The sequence below is a fragment of the Homo sapiens genome, chromosome 6, assembly GCF_000001405.40.
Source record: "Homo sapiens chromosome 6, GRCh38.p14 Primary Assembly".
NCBI classification, from domain to species: domain Eukaryota; kingdom Metazoa; phylum Chordata; class Mammalia; order Primates; family Hominidae; genus Homo; species Homo sapiens.
This window is the reverse complement of record NC_000006.12, coordinates 81,469,714-81,491,764: the sequence shown is the minus strand read 5'-3', so window position 1 is coordinate 81,491,764 and position 22,051 is coordinate 81,469,714. Positions and strand designations below refer to the sequence as shown.

General features: G+C 36.4%; 1 long non-coding RNA gene across 9 annotated transcripts in view; it reads left to right on the top strand.

Moving 5' to 3' along the window:
• Positions 1-22,051, top strand: part of LOC105377871 (uncharacterized) — a 105,003-nt gene that overhangs the window by 58,480 nt on the left and 24,472 nt on the right. For 8 of the 9 annotated variants that reach the window (XR_007059659.1, XR_007059660.1, XR_007059663.1 and 5 more), the window contains one exon: positions 84-2,287. This is a non-coding gene — a long non-coding RNA (uncharacterized LOC105377871). Of the gene's footprint in view, positions 1-83; positions 2,288-22,051 lie in introns of those variants that run through there. The other variant, XR_007059658.1, reaches the window with a different exon arrangement.

The window sequence follows — 22,051 nt, the reverse complement described above, 5'->3', positions numbered from 1 at the left end:
TCTATACTTTTTTTTGCATAGACCAGCACTTTTAAATTTATTTTTCACTATTTACTTACTTATGTATTTTTCTATTTGCTCAGGCAAAAGACAACAGAAGAGTCCAAAGTCTGAGGGGACTGGGCAAGCTTCTGTCACATGCTTTCAGAATGAAGACAATCTGCAAGAATTTTAAGTTGTGACCTCTACAGAGAAAAGAATGAAAAGTAGCCAAATCTCCACATGAGAGATTTTGGACTATTTTGCAGTGTAAACCCCATCTGATTTATATGAAGTAAGCAGACTTTCTCTCCAAGAGTTCAAAATAAATTAATTCTAATGCTAAATATGTTCTCATGACAGTCTCAAAAACAAAACAGTAAAAAAAAGTATTAAGGTTTACTCTACCTTTTCACTGTATTAAACTCATGTATGAAGCAAAAGTTAGCTAAGAACATATTTATTATCATTTTGAGTTTTCTAGGGGCTTCTACAAACAAAAACCAAAAGGCAAAACTCTGGTTAGTAAGTTATATAAATCCCTTAACTCTTGGAACCCATAAAATAGAAATGACAAAATATCTAGTTCATACAATTGTTTTGATTATTGAGATAAAATTTATGAAAGTTCTTTGGATCCTCTAAAGTTTTACACAGCTTCCAAATATTATTGTTTGACAGAATCCCATTTGGAATTAATAATGTCCTCAATCTTGATCTATGAATTTTAGTAATTCTAATTCTGCTTTGTATCTTCAAGTTAATTGTACATTTTCTGAAGATAGAATTTTAAAGGGGAAGGATCTTGTTACTCATTACTTTCATTGAAGCATAAGTTTAGTAAATGGGCTTTGGGTCTGTTAGACCTTACTTTTGATCTTGGTTGAGTCTTAAATCCACTGAGTCCTAGTTGTATGACGATAGATACATAACTCCTCTTCTCTGAGGTCTTCCACTTTTAATTTGTAAAGTAGAAATAATTTTAGTGTCTACAATATAGGTTTGTTGTGGCTCATGGATGAAATAATGTATGTTGAAGACTGGACAGTAGCTAGTATGCTAACTCTCAAAGCCCCATCTGTGCCATTTCTCATTTATTCCCTCAAACAACAACAACAACAACAACAACATCCCAGTGCCTTCCTTGAGGGCTGAAACTCTATTCTATTCCTATTATTATTAATTTCAGCATTCTTGCCCCACTTACCTTTTGTGACACCTACCTGGAAAAATCACAATTCTAGATAAACTCGAGTATCTTCCTCTTGCCCAAATCTAACCTTGAAAAGTACTACTAGAATTACATAATGTCCCAGATTGGCTCTTTAAAATTCATGGTCTCAGTCTCAATGAGGTAACAGTAACAAGAGGCAAAATTTCTAATATTCCCTGCTCAGCTTCCTCTCCCATTCCCGCAGCAGCAGCTTCAAACTTTTCTTCAAACTCTCTCTTCCCTTACCTCAATCCCCACACTGAGCACAAGATTTCACAAGGAATAGCGAAGCCATCTGATAGATATTTCTTCAGCTTCTCGTTTTTATCCTGAATCTATGCTCTGCATTTCTTCCTTTTCTCCTCCTGTTTTAGAGAGATGACCCCTTTCTGTCTAAAGCCAAGCATTTTTTTCTGAGTTTTAAATCTCTAAAATCGATAAGCTTTTTTTAAATTTTGATTTTAATTTAATACTGACAAATATTTTAAAATAATTGTATATATTTATGGGATACAACATGATGTTTTACTACACATAAAAATTGTGGAATGAGCAAATCAGTTCTAATTAACATATTCATCATCTCACCTACTTATCATCACTTGGGGGTGAGAACATTTAAAATCCACCCTTTTAGCAATTTGGAAATATACAATACATGATTATTAACTATATTTACCTAGCTGTGCTAAAGATCACCAGAACTTATTTCTCCTAACTGAAATTTTGTACCCTTTTGCAAACATTTCCCCTTTCCCTGCTCACACCACCCCACTTTCCCAGCCTCTGGTAATCACCATTCTACTCTCTACTTCTATGAGTTTGGCTGTGTTAGATTCCACATACATGATATTATGTGATATTTGTCTTTCTGTGCCTGGTTCATTTCACGCAGCATTATGTCCTCTAGACTCATCTATGTTGTTTGTAATAATAGAATTGCATTCATTGTAAAGACGAATAGTATTTCATTGTGTATATATACCACATTCAAGAAATCCATTTATCTATTGATGGACACTTAGTTTATTTCCATATCTTGGCTATTGTGAATAATGCTGCAATAAACATCAGAGTGCAGATATCTTTTCAACATACTGACTTCAGTTTCTTTCAAGGTATACCCAGAAGTTGGCATTGTTAGATAATGTGGTAATTCTATTTTTAGTTGTTTGAGGAACCACCATACTAAATCAACATGGCTTTACTGGTCATACCAAGAAATGGAAAGATAAAAGTTTGGATTAACTCCAAGATTTCTGGTTTGGGTAAGAGGAGGTTGCATTTATGGAGGTGAGAGGATTTTAATGGATTGATAATGAGTTTTAGATATCATGAGACATCTAACAGGAAGAGTTTGATAAGTCTTGAAATGAGTAAAATAGTTTGAATGGAGTGCAAGATGTTGGTTGAAGTTATAGTACTGGTTGAAATACTTGAAAAATGTGTATGAAATAAGAGGAGAACGTTTAAGTTTTCCTAAGGAATCATGAATTTATAAATAAAGATCCATGTTCTTTGTGTCTTCCCCATTTTGGAATATAGCAATTAAGCAGTTAAAATCAGCTTTTATTACTTTCTATGAGTTCATCTTAGTACATTTCCAAACACACTATTCTCCCTGTAACAGAAAATCAATCGTTTATACCCACCTGTGTTGTTAGACTTTTAAACAGTCTCTTATTTTATCTGTTGAAAATTAAGAAAGAAAAAATACAAAACATTTTCGGCCACAAATAAATAAATGAAGAGTTTTATAATGCTTAAATCTGTTATACATTTGTAAGAGCACCCTTATTTTATACAGGTTAGCATAATGCTGAGAATTAAATGTATCTGTTTCTCCTACAAATGTAGAATAGATCCTGTGTCTCTACACATGAAGATAACTGACTGCTGTTAGCATTCATTATATGTAAGCTTTCAGAAATGGAAACCTATGTTGCCTGGTCCTGCTGGAGAAGGGGAGGCAAAACAGAGGGCTGGATTTACCTGCTTTGATCTACAGAGAATACTTTTCTCACACATTTTTACTGCTATAGCTGTATATTACATTTACATTAAAAGTCCCAAAGGGACTTTAACAAACATTTAAAAATTTTTCAACAAATTCCTTTTCACCAACTGAGGCGTTCTATTGAGAGTTCTTATGAGTTGACGACATAGTTTTTAAGTTTTCAACAGTGCGATTCTGTTGTCTAATTAGGTAAAATGCTAAATTATATTTTAAAAATTATTATATCATATATTATTAAATTTTAATTGTATAGTCATACATTTTCAAAATAGAGAAAAATTAGTTCATATTCTTGTCTATAGATTTCTTCATTATAATGATTTGCATTTATTAATTTAAAAAGATATTAAAACGGACAATAAATAGAAAGTATGCCAGTAACTCATTAAATCCCTGTCAAAAATGGCATTGACAACTTAAGACTGTTTCACCGTGGTTTTTTTTTAATTTTTTTTTTTTAGATTTACAGGTTTTCAAGTTAAAGCAAAAATAGATTGCTGCTTTCCTGAGTCAAGGACTTTTCAAATTTTATTTTTATGCCATATTTTAAAGAAACTGCTCATAATTTTTTGCTTTTCAAATGTCTTTTTAACTATGTAAATGCCTTTAAATCATAAGCTTAGAGAGAAAAACGAGATTTGAAAAACATTGAACCGTTGTAAAGATTACATATTTTTTAGTATATCTCAAAATAAACATGTTAGATGTGTGTGGCAAAGAGTTTTATGAATGGTTGGCAAAAGTTACTATTTACTACACCAGTGGGAAGTGTAAAAGGAAAAGCATTTCTGCATTGTGTGTGTTCCTTGGCGTAACAGCTACAAACTGTCCTTGTTCAGAATAAGCCAATCAGAGGCTGCACTGGGCATGGAGCTGACAAGGCTTTCCACCATTGGCTGCTCTGCCTTTGGCTTACAGAAAGCTGGCTGGCTTGCTTGCTGATGAATTCAGCAGTACAAATTAATTTCTCCCTAGCTAAAATTTCCAGTGGAGGTTTGTGTTAATGGTTTAAGAACATTGTCTGATTAAACACTGATAACATGGATTCTCTCTGTAGTATTTTCTAATTATGTTGTGAAACCACTATTATTACATGCATTTGACTTGTCTCTTTAACATTTCAAAAGCTTTTCATACCGATTAACTATTATTATATCCACAGCAACCAAAGGAGGTAGGTGAGAAAGAGGCTGTTATATGAAATGATGCAATGTATGGGAGAGCTGTTTGTTAACTGTAAAACCATACAACAGATATCATTAAGATTTTTGTTTTTTGGATGAAAAAATGGAAGCCAGAGACACCACACTATCTGCTTCAGCTGATAGAACACTAGGACAATGGGAACACAGGTCAACTGATTGACACTTAAAATTGTTAATCATTTTTTATATGCAATGCTCACTGGTAGAGCTATAGGAAGTCAATATAAGAAAGGGATTCATTTTATAGATTACCAAATATAAGGCTAAAGCAATTTGAGAAGCTTATTCTGAGTTTGGCAGTTAGCCATTGAGAAAATATACACTCAATATTTAAAAAGAATTTTTAGGACCGATGTTTGCCTGAAAATTATATGTACGAAGTGTCCACAGTACTACGGTTAAAATTATTATGGTATGAAATATTATGACAATATAGCCAGGCCTGAATCAGTGATTCAGGACAGAAGTTTCTGCATTTTATTGGTAAATTCTGGGTCACCCGTCGTTCATTAATCTGGTTTCATATAACCTCTGTATTAAAAGCCCATTAACCATGATCTCTTCCCTAGTTACAAAGTGACTACTTGCTATAATAGATCAATTGAATTTTCATGGAAGAGTTAGAGTGCAACCATGTTTCCCACCTTTTCAAGCTTTAAACCTTTCATTCCTATGTATTTTCTTCTCTTGAAAGGCAGTTAAGAACAGGATTCTTAGGACCAGAAAGAAAAGAAAGAACTGTTGTTTCAAGTCTTGGGTTTTTATGTTACTTACTTAACTTTTATTTGCCCTACATTCTGCTTGACCCCATTTCAGAACACAGAATTGGGCAGGTGTATTTGAAGAACATGATAATAATGGATCATTATGAAATAGTAACACAACTAAGTGTTTACTGAACACTTACTCTTCATTGATTCACAAGTCCTGTTAAGAGCTTTCCATTTACAGTCTCAGATTGAGATATTGTATTAGTCTGTTTTCACACTGCTATAAAGAATTGCCCAAGACTGGGTAACTTATAAAGGAAGGAGCTTTAATTGACTCACAGTTTACCACGGCTGGGGGGAGGCCTCAGGAAACTTATGATCATGGCAGAAGGTGAAGGGGAAATAAGACAACTTCTTCACAGGTGGCAGAAAGGAGAAATGCAGAGCGAAGGGGGAAGAGCCCCTTGTAAAACCATCAGATCTCATAAGAACTCACTATCACCAGAACAGCATGGGGAGCTGGGGACCGGCCCTATGATTCAATTAACTCCACCTGGTCTCTCCCTTGACACCTGGGGATTATGAGGATTATAATTCAAGATGAGATTTTAGGGAACACAAAGACTAACCATATCAGACATTAAGTAATTAGACCCAAGTTACACACCAGTTGGTGCTGGTGCCAGAACTTAAATCTACTTTTGCCCAGCTGCAAAAACTGTGTATTGACCATTATACTGTTCATCTCCAGGTTAAACTGAAAGTCAAGAAATTAATATATATATATATAAATATATAATTATTAATATATAATATATCTGTGTGTGTGTGTGTGTGTGTGTGTGTGTCTGTGTATAACATGGGTCACAGTGAGTGGCTGATTCCAGGAAACTCTGATTAATTTTAATAGCTGAGATGTATTTAGAAACAACAACAAACAAATAAATCACATAAGCAGTTCTCCCCACAAAGAAGTGAAAGAAAGCAAGCCAAAGATGAAGGCAGCATCTAATTACTAACCATGCTGTCACAGATGTGATTCTGCTCTGTTCAGTAATGAGGAGGGGCCAGAAATTTCACTGTGTGCTGATTATGTGGTTTTGTTTCTGGTAAGTTATATGTAATTTCTGAGTCTCAGGTTTTTTATTTGTAAGATGGGCTAATAATCCTAATCTAGTTTTTCATAAGGATTAAACACACACACACACACACACACACACACACATTTGAAGTGTCTAGTATACTTCTGAAACATTGTATTCACTCTGCATATAGTAGTTTTTATTCCTGTCATGATATCCACCTATTCTGCTGTTCTCAAAGAGGCAAGTGTTGGGTACAATAATGCCAAGACTCTGGGTGGCAGGATCCAAGAGCCCAGGACCAAATCTTACCAAAAGGTTAGGCAACAAAGCTAATCTGACAGAGGAATAGCTGAAATATAGACAGCAAACTCAGGATGTTTCAAACCAGTCTTGATTTGGAGTACACCACGTACCTCCCTTACATTATCAAAGTAATAAGATTGAAACTAGGCAGCGAAGAAAGAACCATGAGTCACTTATTTACCCATAAAGATGGTGAGGTAGTTCCACAGGCAAGGATTCAGAGCTTAGAACCCTATAAGCCATCAAGCCAGGGTAAGGGAGTAGACAATTTTTGATTATAGATTTGTAGCACCAACCATAAGGAGATCTTGGTACCAAGATCAAATTACTACCTATCATGAATCATTGCACATACTTTTTGCCAAGGTGCTATTCAATCCCAGAGCGTATTGAACACTTTAGTAGCTGTTCCTCGTTGGAAAGATAATAAAGAGATAAAGAGTTTCACACTGTAAGATTTTTCTGATGGAAGAATAACACCTGTGTTATAGTCTGGGACTACTGTGTTTCCCACAGTCTGATGTGAAGCATCCATACTGTCTTGGGCAACTGAGCAAGAAGCTTCAGTCTTCTTGTCCTCCAATATCCTAGCCAGATCACAAAGTTATTTAGGTTTATCATCCTCTCTTTGTCCAATAGAAGGATATAATAAATGTCAAATATTTGTCTAATTACTAGGAATACACAAAAGGATTTTAATCTATTTTTATAGAACCTAAGATTATTAGTTAAAACTTTATTAGTCTACTGATTTAAGGGATAAGAAATTAAGTCACAGAGAGGTACAGTTGTTCCTGGGTTTTTCCAAACAGTTGTTCCTAAGTCATCCAGCTAAATTTAGCAAGCTATAATTTAAATCACAACAGTCTAGCTACAAAGATACTCAGCTACCATATAGTATTATGTTGGTGCAAAAGTAATTGCATTTTTTTGCCATTAAAAGTAATGGCAAAAAAGTTAACAGCATTAACTTTGAATGGCAATAAAAACCACAATTACTTTTGCGACGACCTACTATCATATTTAAATTTAAAGCAACTTTCCTGCCAAACACTTAAATCTCTGGGAAAACAAAACAAAGGCAAAAGTTGTTCTCCTTTATTCTCTTTCTTCTTCTTTTTTTTCTATTTCCTAATTCTAATTGGTACGCTCATTTGTTCATTTTCTGTATGCTGATGTTACTGCCTGTTTTCATGAAAGTGGGCCATATTTTAATTTCTAACTTTCTCCAAAACAATAATTTTTTAAGGCTATAAAAATGTCTATTAGTTACACTACATATTTTAAGATTAAAAAAGTGGAAGTCAAAATTTCTGACAAGAGTGTTACACCCTGTTCTGGAACATGCTCTTTGTTTATGAAGAACAGAAGCTACTCAAACTAGCTCAAATAATAAAATCTGAGATTTACTGTAAATTTAAAGTGAAATCTGAAAAACGTCTAAAAAGAAGCAGACACTAAGCCGTAAGATAGCTGGATTCAGGACTGTTCTGGTAGCCACAGGAGAAGTTCATGGGCCTCCATTCTTCATGGAACTGTCAGTAACTCTTTTGCCCACTTGCTATGATGTCAGCACAAGTCACGCTTGGTGGAGAGTTATAACCGTGGCATCAAAAAGTGAGCTGTGTCAATTAGATCCATCTCTCAAAACATTTAAACTAATGCATCAGTTCAGCATAAACCATGCTAGTCAATAGCTGGATAGAAACAAGCAGATGCAAACCAATACTGAAAAGAGTATTTAACACAACAGTGGGGCTAACAAAATTTTTAATGGCATACTAAAATATAATCTCACATTACTTTTTGTCTCCTGTCCTGTGTTGTGTGTTGACGTTAAGAGAATTTGTTTAGCCCCATAGAGTTAACTTTCCACACTGGTTATAAGAACAAATCTATTCATCATCTCAAAAAAATTTTGTTAGTAGGATATATTGGAAGATGAGTTCAAATTCTTTCCCAATCATGTGAAAATGTAGTGCAAATAGAATACTTCACTATTTTATGTCCTAGTGTTATCAGATATAACATGTGAAACTAAAGTCTAGATAAATGCTATTCTCTACGAGTGATGGTAGCAATCTTGTCAACACCCTTCACTTCCCCTTGTTAAGCCTAAAATATAATCAAAACATATTGGGCCCAAAACATATTGGGCCCAAATGAATCTTCATCACATAATAATTATTCAGAATTATTTTTAGCACTAATATAATGCATATACTAATAAAGATTTACTAGATTAATTCCAGATCTATAAATGAGCAAAGTTAGAATATAGTTTCTGAAAAGAGACAAATCTAGCAAACTTGTCCTTGATCTTTCTGAATTCAAAGATGAAGGCCCACATTTTAGAAATAAATATGTATAATATTGGCTAGATAAAGTTCTGCCTTCAAGAAGCTTAGAATTTTATAAATGAAACTATTATGATTCTTCATTTTTACTTAAATGCACAAGGAAATTCCTGATTATTGAAGAGACTTGTGACAAATGACTACTTGAATCTGTAATATAATGTATTCAGTATTCTGAGACTTGAAAGATTCAGCCATGAGTTGAAAGCATATCTTACTATCTAATAAAATTTATGTAATTTATATATTTAAATTTTAAATTTAAATGTCTTAAATTTTAACTTAGAGTTCTTGGACAGGACTTAGAAATTAATGCTCAACCAAAGAACTATCCAAATGACAGTAAAATTTTGTTTTATATTATGGTAAGCATAAATATACTGGATAAAATCTTGAACTCTAGAAACAGATAAACTGTGATTTAAAGCCTAATTTGAAACTTAACCTCTTAAAAGCTCCATTTCTTTATCAGTTAAATGGAAGTAATAACAGTCACTAACCTACCTAAATATTTGTTACTGTGAGAATTAAATAAAGTGATGAAGATAAGTTTCTTAGCACACAGAAGCTACACAATAAATGGTAGGTATAAATTATAGAATATAAAATATTGACTAAGAAGATAAATAGTTAATAATAGAAGAAGTTGAAAAACTAGAAATAATTAAGGTTATTTTTAGAGTGCAAACCTTTTTGGTTGTCCTAAAGTTTAAATTTCAGGTTAAGTATTTCTAGTTACTCTGTTTTTGATGTTTAAAACTGTACTCTCCCAAAACTGCTCTAGGGCAAAAGTAAATGAACTGAAAACAATTGCTATAATATGTAAAACTTGAAACAGAAATGTATTTTCATTCTTGGTAATGTCCAGGGACTGAACAACTAAGACGATGTTTTTCAAATTCACGGTGAATCAATAAATTATGATTTGGTAAATATGTACTAACCACTGTTTAGAAAACATTATCAATCTAATACATGGGAGAGCTAGGGAAAATGTGAATCTCAGTATAAAATACCTAGAAAGCTGAAACAGTACATTTAACCTTTGATCTTCTATTTAAAATAGTGTGTTTATATAGAAATCTGTATGATAAACTGCTTTGCATCTGGAGAGCTCAGAACATGAATGCCAACTGCTGGAGATGGCCAGGGGTTTATTGAAGGAGTTGTATCCCTCCCTCAAGGGAAGTAATTGGTGTTAAGGGGAAGTTTCTTGAACTTTTCACACTGGAATAAACTTGAACTATTTTCTGGCTGAGTACTCAAAAAAAAAAAAAAAGATGTCTTGAAACAGCAGAGTGGAGATGAGCACCTCCTTTGATGGTACCAGCCTGGGTGCTGATCTTCACTTGGCTGCCTGAGACCCTGAGCTTTTCTGAGATTCAGTTTCCTCCTCATCTAAAACATTGTAGGGTTGGACAGTAATTAATGGTTTTCGAAGTTGCTTTATTTGACCCTTTACTTCAAATAAAATCTCAAGGAGAACACAGCTATGTAAAGCAGAAATAAATATACTCTTTTTGAAACAAGGTGTTTCAAATGTGTGTGTGTGTGTGTGTGTGTGTGCACGCGCCAATAGTGCTAGCTATCTTTCCATTCTCCACAGCATGGCTGCTTCCCCAAAATGACTCCCTTCCTCCAACTCCTAATTTTCTCAGTATCAAAGCATAGGAATATTCAGAGAACAGTTTGCGAAACACTGCACCAGAGGTCTTTACTTGTTCTTCTGAACATTATTGTTGACCTTTTCAAAAAATTTATCTAGATGGGCAAATTGCAAAAAAAAGCTGTTAGTTAATATATTTAAAACTCAACTCAAAATATTTAAAATAAAATAGAAAATATCTTTTTGTCTTACCATATTAGCAAAACTTACAATGAATATTACTAAAGTTGAAATATCTAGGGACACAGTTGCTCTTATTCATTGCTAGTGGGAGTGTAAACTGGTCTAACATTTCTGGAACATATTTGACAATATATACCAAATGCTTTCAAGACTGATAAACCACTGTGCCACAGAATTTCTCTTTGAGTTTAACTCAAATAAGTAGATGGGAAAAAAGGAAGATGTGCAATTGAGCTCATCAGAGTTATTTATAAGGAGGAAGAGTGAAAACCACATTAGTTTTAATATTATTGTCGAAGTTAAGTATCTATTTAAATACATATTATAAAAGAGTATTTTTTTGAAATTAGAAAATTTGAAGAAGTTTGAATAAAGTAATAGTATAAGGAGTAGGTAATCTCCTGGTCCTTGCTGGGTACTACTGGGGGGAAAAAAAGCAATGAAAGGCCGAAGTTGATTAATCACTAATTTAAGGTGATAGGAGAAAGTGGAGGGTCTCTTAGGAAGCATATAAAGAAAGTTTTATTTCTAGCAGGTACAGGGCAAAGAATAGCTGGGGATTAGGCACATGACCTACTTATAAAGGCAGAAAAGCTCCAAAGAATGTTGGGTCCTTAACCCTGGCAAAACTACTATGCTCAGGGTCTAGATTGCAAAGGTATTTTAGCTTCAGATGTGTGATGAGACATCTGAGTCAATGTACTTGAAAATCTTGAATCTCCAGATTCCCTTGGACACAGGCCAGTAGAAACAGCCTACTCTTTTCTGTTATAGCTTAGTATTCCTCCACTGCTCTAAGGCAATGCAGAGGCTTCTACCTCACAAGATAATGCACAGGCTTTCAAGATCTATCCCCACTTCCCCTTATGGCCATCAGAAAAATAACTAGTATAAAGTCACAACACTGCCCTGCCCAAGAAATGCTGAGACTAAATGGAAGAGATGTAGGACCAGCCAACATGCACCAGGGAGTGATTTGATTCTGAGGGTGCTGAATCAAGGTGGGAAGGTGGAGCATAATATTAGATAAGAGAGAGTTTATCAATATGGGAGCACTATCTCATAATACAAGATTTATTACCCTATTGAAGACCTTAGGAAGCAGTGATAACATGGCACCATTCTTGGAAGCTTGAACAAAATGACAGTCCTCAATAAATAAACTGGAGCCACTGGAACTTATCTATAGCAGGCAGTAAAAGAAGGAATCAAGAGGTTGAGAGAGGTGAGCATGCTGGTGGAGGTGCACCATGTAAGGCTTGAAAACCCCTGCACACTGTTGGGGAATCTGGAATAAACTACCTGTAAACTGTTAAGAGATGCTCTAATGAGGGGGCATCAGTATGTCTGAGTAACTCAGCAATGCATGTTTTTTTATAGGACAGGAGTAACATAGGGGATGATGTTACACTAAGGAGGTTTCTGATAGCAGTGGGGATGATGGGCTCCAGAATAAGAAAGGTCAGGTGACAGGAAATTTAAGCATCAAAAGTAATAGAGATGCAGTGATTATAACTGGTAGCAAAGTCAAAAGGGAAGCCCAGGGGAACTGGCCTACAGAGAGCTATGGATATATAAAACATGGTATTCCTAGGAGCAAGATAAATGGACAGCCAATGAGTTCTGCTCAATTCATAAGATTCATACAACAAAAAAAAAAACTCACAGATTTATTGGAAGGTCCCCTCATTAAAGCATTGTGATCCCTTGTTTAACTTACAGATCTCACAATATTTTTACATTCTGAATTGCTGATTGAGGAAAGGCTGTATCCTCGTGAGTAGGTATCTTGTAATACCATGGCAGGTATATGTAATAATCCCCCCTTCAGAAACCTATGGCCATTCACACAAGTAAGAGGAAGATGCAGATATTTTGAAGACTGTTGGACACAGGGCTTAGGTTAAGGTTGATAACCTGGGATCCAAAATAACCGCCAAACACCTCTGTTAGAGAAGAAGACACATGTGTATTAGGTTAAAAATTAGAATCCTGGCCCAGGTTCAGCTCGCTGGGTCCACAAATCTATCTGGTAGTTATTTCCTGAGCCCCTCATTATACAATTAGAATGAGCACATTTAGTAGTTGGCAGAACATCTGCACTGTTTTTCTGAGTGGTGAGAACTAAGATAGTAGGAAAGCCAAATGGAAGCTCTGCAACTGACTCCACTCCCACTTTCCACCTCCTTTTCCTACCCCAGCCAAGATAATACATTAAAACAAAGTTCAGAGAAGAGTACCACCCTTAAGAATGTCAATAGATTCAGGGATGCTGTCTCCATATGTTTATTTAATTCATTAGTCTGGTCCTTAAGAAATAGATAGATCCTGGTAAATATCAGTGACATGGACATGGGCTACACACAGGCAAATTTTAAATTTCATTGCAGCTGCTGTATTAGATGTGATATGTCTTCTAAAGTAGATCAGTACAGCCTTAGGTAGATTGATCTAGTGAATCTATTCTTTTCACAGCAAGAAAAAAGAACAGAAGCCATTTGAATTAATGTAGGACAGATAAGAATGTGCATTTATGCTTTTGCTCCAGGGAGATGTTAACTCTCCTACTCTTTGTCATGAGATAGTTGGAAAAGGTCTGAGTCGTCTGGACATTTCACAGATATTCATTATATTGATGGCATCAAGTTAATCAGAAGAGCAAGTGGCGGCAAGTATGAATCTTAACAAAGAGAACCCTATGAGAATTTACGCCCTGTGTTTTGACCTGGTCATCCACTCTCTGTGGAGAGAAGTGGCTTGAAGTAAAAATATATGTCCATTCATTGGCAGTGGTAAATAGCTTGGCTGTTTTTTCTAGGGTCCTGGAAGGATAAAGTTTGGAAAATCATGGACCAGGAGGTATGGGGAAGAGGCATATGGATGTGTATTTATCATGTTTTATTATTCATATTTTTTATTTTGATGAAGATGTTTTGACAAAGACTCACATTTTGTTTTGACAAGATGTTTCAACATCTTGGGGGCATGCTGACCCAGGAGGGACTGCCCCTCTTACGCTTAGCTAATTCCAAGAGATAGCAAAAACTCACCTGAGAGTGCACCTTTCAAATGAAAATCAACTAATTCAGAATCCATAATTCAGTCAGCTCTTTTATCAAGATCTTATACTCCTACACTCTGGGCCACTATTCCTTTGCCCTAATTATTCCAGGGCCATCTATCAAACAAAAAGGGACAGCTCCTACATCCCTGAGCCCACTGAAATTATTCAAAACAGACTATTCTATACCTGCTTATACTGTCTCACATGTTCCTTCACAAGGAAAGCACAATAAAAGCTCTTGCCAGTTTCTCTCCTCCTTCTACCACCTGACTAACCCCAGTACTTCCTTTTGTAGCCTCCCATGGCATGGCATGGCCCCTTCTGTTGAAATTTGTGAATACAACATGTTTTCAGTGGTAATCATTCATTGATATGTTGGTCTCACCATATCTGAATAACAATAAAGTTATAGTTTAAAATAGTGCTATAGACTGTTTGTATCCCCCACAAATTCAAATGCTGAAATCCTTTCCCCCAATCTAATGGTATTAGGAGATAGTGCCTTTGGTGGGTGATTATGTCATAAAGATGGAGCCCTCATGAATGGGGTTAGTGCCCATATAAAAGAGACCCTTGAGAACTCCCTAACTCCTCCACCAGGTGATTATATAGCAAGAAGGTTGCTGCCTATGGACCAAGAAGCATGTCCTCACCATACACCAAATCTTCTGAATCCTTCATCTTGAATGTCTCAGCCTTCAGAACTTTGAGAAATACATTGTTTATAAGCCACCTAGTTTATAGTATTTTGTTATAATAGTCCAAAATCACTAAGACAAACAGGATGGAGTTATGGGGACCTGCATGAAGTATGACTATCTTTGTATCACATGCCAAGAAGAGAGCATTCCCTGAAAAAAAAGAGGCATGAAGCAACCAAGGAGACAGAATGACTCAGCTATCTGATGATGCCCAGCCAAAATAATCTTTGTTCAACTCAGTGCTGACTCCATGAGCTCTTGGACACATTAGCTGTGGTGGCAGGCATAGGGGCTGTTCATATGCCCAATTATGTCCAATTCATCTGTTTTTGTCTGTGCTGCTATACTAAAATACCTCTGACTGGGTAATTTATAAAGAATATGAATTTATTCTTCATAGTTTTAGTAGTGGGAAGTTCAAAGTCAAGGTCCTGTCAGGTTTAATGTCTGGTAAGGGCTTGTTGTCTGCTTCTAAAGATGGCCACCTTGAATGCTGTGTAACCACCTGGTGGAGGCAGAAGGCAAAAAGTGACTAGCTAGCTACATCTTGCCTTTTTATAAGGTTACAAATTTTATTCATGAAGGCAAAGCCCTCATGGCTCAATTACCTTCAAAAGCCCCACCTCTTAATACTGTGGCATTGGGGATTAAGTTTCAAGATAAATTTTGGAGAGTATACATTCAATCCATAACATCAACCAAGACTGATTTAGCTACCATGATGCCGAACATCCAAACTGCTAGAAATACAGACCAATGCTGAGTCCCCGGTTGTGCTACTATCCCTTGATGAAATCATTCTGGAAGGGGAAGAAATTTAGTTTATCTGGAATCAACACGTGATAGGTATGGATTTTCCTTTCCTGTTTTTGGGAACTCAGTCAGCACCACTATATAAGGGCTTATGTAGTGTTTGAACTACCAACTAGGTATATTTATAATATCACCTCAGACAGACTTGCTTTACAGCAAAGAAGGTGTGAAAGTGAGTGCATGACCATAGGTTCATCTGGTCTTATCACATGTCACATTTTCTAAAAGCTGTTGGCATGCTGGAAAGATGAAACAGTTTTTTTAAAGGCGTAACTTCTGTGACAATGTAAAGATAATACCTTGAGATCATAAGGTACTCTTCTCCAGGAAGCAGTATACATCCTATGTCATGGCCATTATTAGTCATGGTGCTATGTGCCCAGTTGGTAAAATACATGAGTGTAAGAAACCGGGAACCAAGCCCCGCTTTCCACAATTTCTAATGATCCCTTTAGGAAACTTGTACTTCTGTGATCTAGATGTCTTGATTCTCATAGAGTAATGCTCCAACCAAAGGATAAAGTAAGAGTCCCATTAAATTTATAGCTATGGTTATGACCTCAATACTTCAGGCTTTAAAAGACAAGCAGGCTAGAAGAGTAGTCATCTCTTTGGCAAGGGTAACTGGCCCTGGCCCGGATAATCAGATGTACCCATCATGACCAGTGATTCACTACCAAATCTCTTCCTGGCCAACTTTTATGGTAAATGGGCAGCCTAAGAACAGCATGATGATATGAGGACATAGATTTTTTAGAGATGAGGGTCTGGTTTACCCTACCAGGTAAGATGCCTGGACTCACAAAAATGCTAGCCAAGTGTGAGGGTTATCTGGAATGGGTAGTAAAAGAAGAAGATAATGAGTATCAGCTATAGCCAGAGTCTACCTGCAGTGACAAGATTTATGGTGCATTCCACTAACCATCCTCTTTTAAATTCCTCCAGAAACACAAACCAGGAAGAAGCTTGGAGAGGCTGCCCTCAGGTGTGGTCATCTAAGTATATGAAGGAAGTGAATCTGAGTGGCTTAAGGGGCGTGATGTACTGAGTGCACTGGTATACCCTAGTTTCACACTAAAGCATTCATTTGCTAAGCTGATTGCTCCCAGATTAATGAACTTCTAGGAATTTTCTTTGGCTATAAGATCTGCTTTCATGAGGTTATGTTACCTCTCTGTGGGTGGCCCATATCTAATGACTAGTTAATGCGGGGCACAATGTCCTGCTCTCTTGTCTCCATTTGGGAGAACCCTAAAGAACTACTCCAACTATCAGTGAGTAACATTTGCTTCACAATTCTTTGCCTTCATTAATGCCAGTGAATTTACCTGCCAATTGACTTCAGCCATCCACTCCACAGGCCACTCTACAAACTTTGTAATAAGCTCAAGTTGTTCTATCACTGAATGCAAAAATGTCTTATTCTCTGAGCATGATGTCTGATGCCATATTATTCTTTCAGTAGCTTACTCCACTATGCCTGGTCTTTGACTTCATATATATCCTTAAATTTTTTTATTCAATGAAACTCTTTTTTTCCTTTCTTAAAGACTTTCTTAATGACTTTTTTCCTGAATACTGTATTGTATATATGTATACTGTATATATATATACAGTTTATGTGTGTATATATGCTGTATATATGTGTATATATATACAGTACAGTACTGTATGTGGTATATATACTGTATATATACAGTACAGTACAGTTATAGTATAGTGCAGTTATATATATTTTATATATATATAAAATGATTGATAATCTGACCTTCAGATACCTTCCCTCATAGATATTCTCATCATTATATAACCCTGGACCATTGCTAAAATTTTTTCCTCTCTTTTACTAAACTTCTGGGCAAAAATACTACAATTTTGAGAATGGTGTTATTGTAATTCATTATAATAACTTGGGTCATCAAAATCACTTCTTAATCTTTCTATTTTTATTTGGCATATCTCTTTATTATTTCTTTCATCAACTCTGGCAAAGCTTTACAATTCTCAACTTTTATTTTCAGTGGTCCACCTTGCTTGCTACTCTCCCTCTAAGCTTCCTACCTCACTTTCTACAAACCTATCCCTACCATCCCCTCCTTTTTATAGTTTGTTCTAGACTAATTCATTATCTTTTAGAGACTTTATCAGCCATCCCTTCTTCAACTCAACGCCTCTCTTCTAACTGCTTACTTATGCTCAGCCTGGGAAAATGATCAAGTTTCTCTCATAGGTTAAGAAAAAAATTCCCCCTTAAACCCTATGGCTCTTCTAGCTACCATCCAATCATTCTTTTTTTTTTTTTTAAGTATTATTGTACTTTAAGTTTTAGGGTACATGTGCACAATGTACCGGTTAGTTACATATGTATACATGTGCCATGTTAGTGTGCTGCACCCATTAACTCGTCATGTAGCATTAAGTATATCTCCTAATACTATCCCTCCCCCAACCCCCCACCCCACAACAGTCCCCAGAGTGTGATGGTCCCCTTCCTGTGTCCATGTGTTCTCATTGTTCAATTCCCATCTATGAGTGAGAACGTGCGGTGTTTGGTTTTTTGTCCTCGCGATAGTTTGCTGAGAATGATGATTTCCAATTTCATCCATTTCCCTACAAAGGACATGAACTCATCATTTTTTATGGCTGCATAGTATTCCATGGTGTATATGTGCCACATTTACTTAATCCAGTCTATCATTGTTGGACATTTGGGTTGGTTCCAAGTCTTTGCTATTGTGAATAGTGCCGCAATAAACATGTGTGCATGTGTCTTTATAGCAGCATGATTTATAATCCTTTGGGTATATACCCAGTAATGGGATGGCTGGGTCAAATGGTATTTCTAGTTCTAGATCCCTGAGGAATCGCCACACTGACTTCCACAATGGTTGAACTAGTTTACAGTCCCACCAACAGTGTAAAAGTGTTCCTATTTCTCCACATCCTCTCCAGCACCTGTTGTTTCCTGACTTTTTAATGATTGCCATTCTAACTGGTGTGAGATGGTATCTCATTGTGGTTTTGATTTGCATTTCTCTGATGGCCAGTGATGATGAGCATTTTTTCATGTCTTTTGGCTGCATAAATGTCTTCTTTTGAGAAATGTCTGTTCATATACTTTGCCAACTTTTTGATGGGGTTGTTTGTTTTTCTCTTGAAAATTTGTTTGAGTTCATTCTAGATTGTGGATATTAGCCTTTTGTCAGATGAGTAGGTTGCGAAAATTTTCTCCCATTTTGTAGGTTGTCTGTTCACTCTGATGGTAGTTTCTTTTGCTGTGAAGAAGCTCTTTAGTTTAATTAGATCCCATTTGTCAATTTTGGCTTTTGTTGCCATTGCTTTTGGTGTTTTAGACATGAAGTCCTTGCCCATGCCTATGTCCTGAATGGTAATGCCTAGGTTTTCTTCTAGGGTTTTTATGGTTTTAGGTCTAAAGTTTAAGTCTTTAATCCATCTTGAATTAATTTTTGTATAAGGTGTAAGGAAGGGATCCAGTTACAGCTTTCTACATATGGCTAGCCAGTTTTCCCAGCACCATGTATTAAATAGGGAATCCTTTCCTCATTGCTTGTTTTTCTCAGGTTTGTCAAAGATCAGATAGTTGTAGACATGCGGCATTATTTCTGAGGGCTGTGTTCTGTTCCATTGATCTATATCTCTGTTTTGGTACCAGTACCATGCTGTTTTGGTTACTGTAGCCTTGTAGTAATAGTTTGAAGTCAGGTAGCATGATGCCTCCAGCTTTGTTCTTTTGGCTTAGGATTGACTTGGTGATGCAGGCTCTTTTTTGGTTCCATATGAACTTTATAGTTTTTTCCAATTCTGTGAAGAAAGTCATTGGTAGCTTGATGGGGATGGCATTGAATCTAGAAATTACCTTGGGCAGTATGGCCATTTTCACGATATTGATTCTTCCTACCCATGAGCATGGAATGTTCTTCCATTTGTTTGTATCCTCTTTTATTTCCTTGAGCAGTGGTTTGTAGTTCTCCTTGAAGAGGTCTTTCACGTCCCTTGTAAGTAGGATTCCTAGGTATTTTATTCTCTGTGAAGCAATTGTGAATGGGAGTTCACTCATGATTTGGCTCTCTGTTTGTCTGTTATTGGAGTATAAGAATGCTTGTGATTTTTGTACATTGATTTTGTATCCTGAGACTTTGCTGAAGTTGCTTATCAGCTTAAGGAGATTTTAGGCTGAGACAATTGTATATCTAGGTTTTCTAGATATACAATCATGTCATCTGCAAACAGGGACAATTTGACTTCCTCTTTTCCTAATTGAATACCCTTTATTTCCTTCTCCTGCCTAATTGCCCTGGCCAGAACTTCCAACACTATGTTGAATAGGAGTGGTGAGAGCGGGCATCCCTGTCTTGTGCCAGTTTTCAAAGGGAATGCTTCCAGTTTTTGCCCATTCAGTATGATATTGGCTGTGGGTTTGTCATAGATAGCTCTTATTATTTTGAGATACATCCCATCAATACCTAATTTATTGAGAGTTTTTAGCATGAAGGGTTGTTGAATTTTGTCAAAGGACTTTTCTGCATCTGTTGAGATAATCCTGTGGTTTTTGTCTTTGTTTCTGTTTATATGCTCGATTACGTTTATTGATTTTCGTGTATTGAACCAGCCTTGCATCCCAGGGATGAAGCCCACTTGATCATGGTGGATAAGCTTTTTGATGTGCTGCTGGATTCGGTTTGCCAGTATTTTATTGAGGATTTTTGCATCAATGTTCATCAAGGATATTGGTCTAAAATTCTCTTTTTTGGTTGTGTCTCTGCCCGGCTTTGGTATCAGGATGATGCTGGCCTCATAAAATGAGTTAGGGAGGATTCCCTCTTTTTCTATTGATTGGAAAAGTTTCAGAAGGAATGGTACCAGCTCCTCCTTGTACCTCTGGTAGAATTCGGCTATGAATCCATCTGGTCCTGGACTCTTTTTGGTTGGTAAGCTATTGATTATTGCCACAATTTCAGCTCCTGTTATTGGTCTATTCAGAGATTCAACTTCTTCCTGGTTTAGTCTTGGGAGAGTGTATGTGTCGAGGAATTTATCCATTTCTTCTAGATTTTCTAGTTTATTTGTGTAGAGGTGTTTGTAGTATTCTCTGATGGTAGTTTGTATTTCTGTGGGATCAGTGGTGATATCCCCTTTATCATTTTCTATTTCGTCTATTTGATTCTTCTCTCTTTTCTTCTTGATTAGTCTTGCTAGCAGTCTATCAATTTTGTTGATCCTTTCAAAAAACCAGCTCCTGGATTCATTAATTTTTTGAAGGGTTTTTTGTGTCTCTATTTCCTTCAGTTCTGCTCTGATTTTAGTTATTTCTTGCCTTCTGCTAGCTTTTGAATGTGTTTGCTCTTGCTTTTCTAGTTCTTTTAATTGTGATGTTAGGGTGTCAATTTTTTATCTTTCCTGCTTTCTCTTGTGGGCATTTAGTGCTATAAATTTCCCTCTACACAGTGCTTTGAATGTGTCCCAGAGATTCCGGTATGTGGTGTCTTTGTTCTCGTTGGTTTCAAAGAACATCTTTATTTCTGCCTTCATTTCGTTATGTAGCCAGTGGTCACTCAGGAGCAGGTTGTTCAGTTTCCATGTAGTTGAGCAGTTTTGAGTGAGTTTCTTAATCCTGAGTTCTAGTTTGATTGCACTGTGGTCTGACAGACAGTTTGTTCTAATTTCTGTTCTTTTACATTTGCTGAGGAGAGCTTTACTTCCAACTATGTGGTCAATTTTGGAATAGGTGTGGTGTGGTGCTGAAAAAAATGTATATTCTGTTGATTTGGGGTGGAGAGTTCTGTAGATGTCTATTAGGTCCACTTGGTGCAGAGCTGAGTTCAATTCCTGGGTATCCTTGTTAACTTTCTGTCTCGTGGATCTGTCTAATGTTGACAGTGGGGTGTTAAAGTCTCCCATTATTATTGCGTAGGAGTCTAAGTCTCTTTTAGGTCACTCAGGATTTGCTTTATGAATCTGAGTGCTCCTGTATTGGGTGCATATATATTTAGGATAGTTAGCTCTTCTTGTTGAATTGATCCCTTTACCATTATGTAATGGCCTTCTTAGTCTCTTTTGATCTTTGTTGGTTTAAAGTCTGTTTTATCAGAGACTAGGATTGCAACCCCTGCCTTTTTTTGTTTTCCATTTGCTTGGTAGATCTTCCTCCATCCCTTTATTTTGAGCCTATGTGTGTCACTGCACGTGAGGTGGGTTTCCTGAATACAGCACACTGATGGGTCTTGACTCTTTATCCAATTTGCCAGTCTGTGTGTTTTGATTGGAGCCTTTAGTCCATTTACATTTAAAGTTAATATTGTTATGTGTGAATTTGATCCTGTCATTATGATGTTAGCTGGTTATTTTGCTCATTAGTTGATGCAGTTTCTTCGTAATCTCGATGGTCTTTACATTTTGGCATGATTTTGCAGCAGCTGGTACTGGTTGTGCCTTTCCATGTTTAGTGCTTCCTTCAGGAGGTCTTTTAGGACAGGCCTGGTGGTGACAAAATCTCTCAGCATTTGCTTGTCTGTAAAGTATTTTATTTCTCCTTCACTTATGAAGCTTAGTTTGGCTGGATATGAAATTCTGGGTTGAAAATTCTTTACTTCAAGAATGTTGAATATTGGCCCCCACTCTCTTCTTGCCTGTAGAGTTTCTGCCGAGGGATCCGCTGTTAGTCTGATGGGCTTCCCTTTGTGGGTAACCCGACCTTTCTCTCTGGCTGCCCTTAACATTTTTTCCTTCATTTCAGC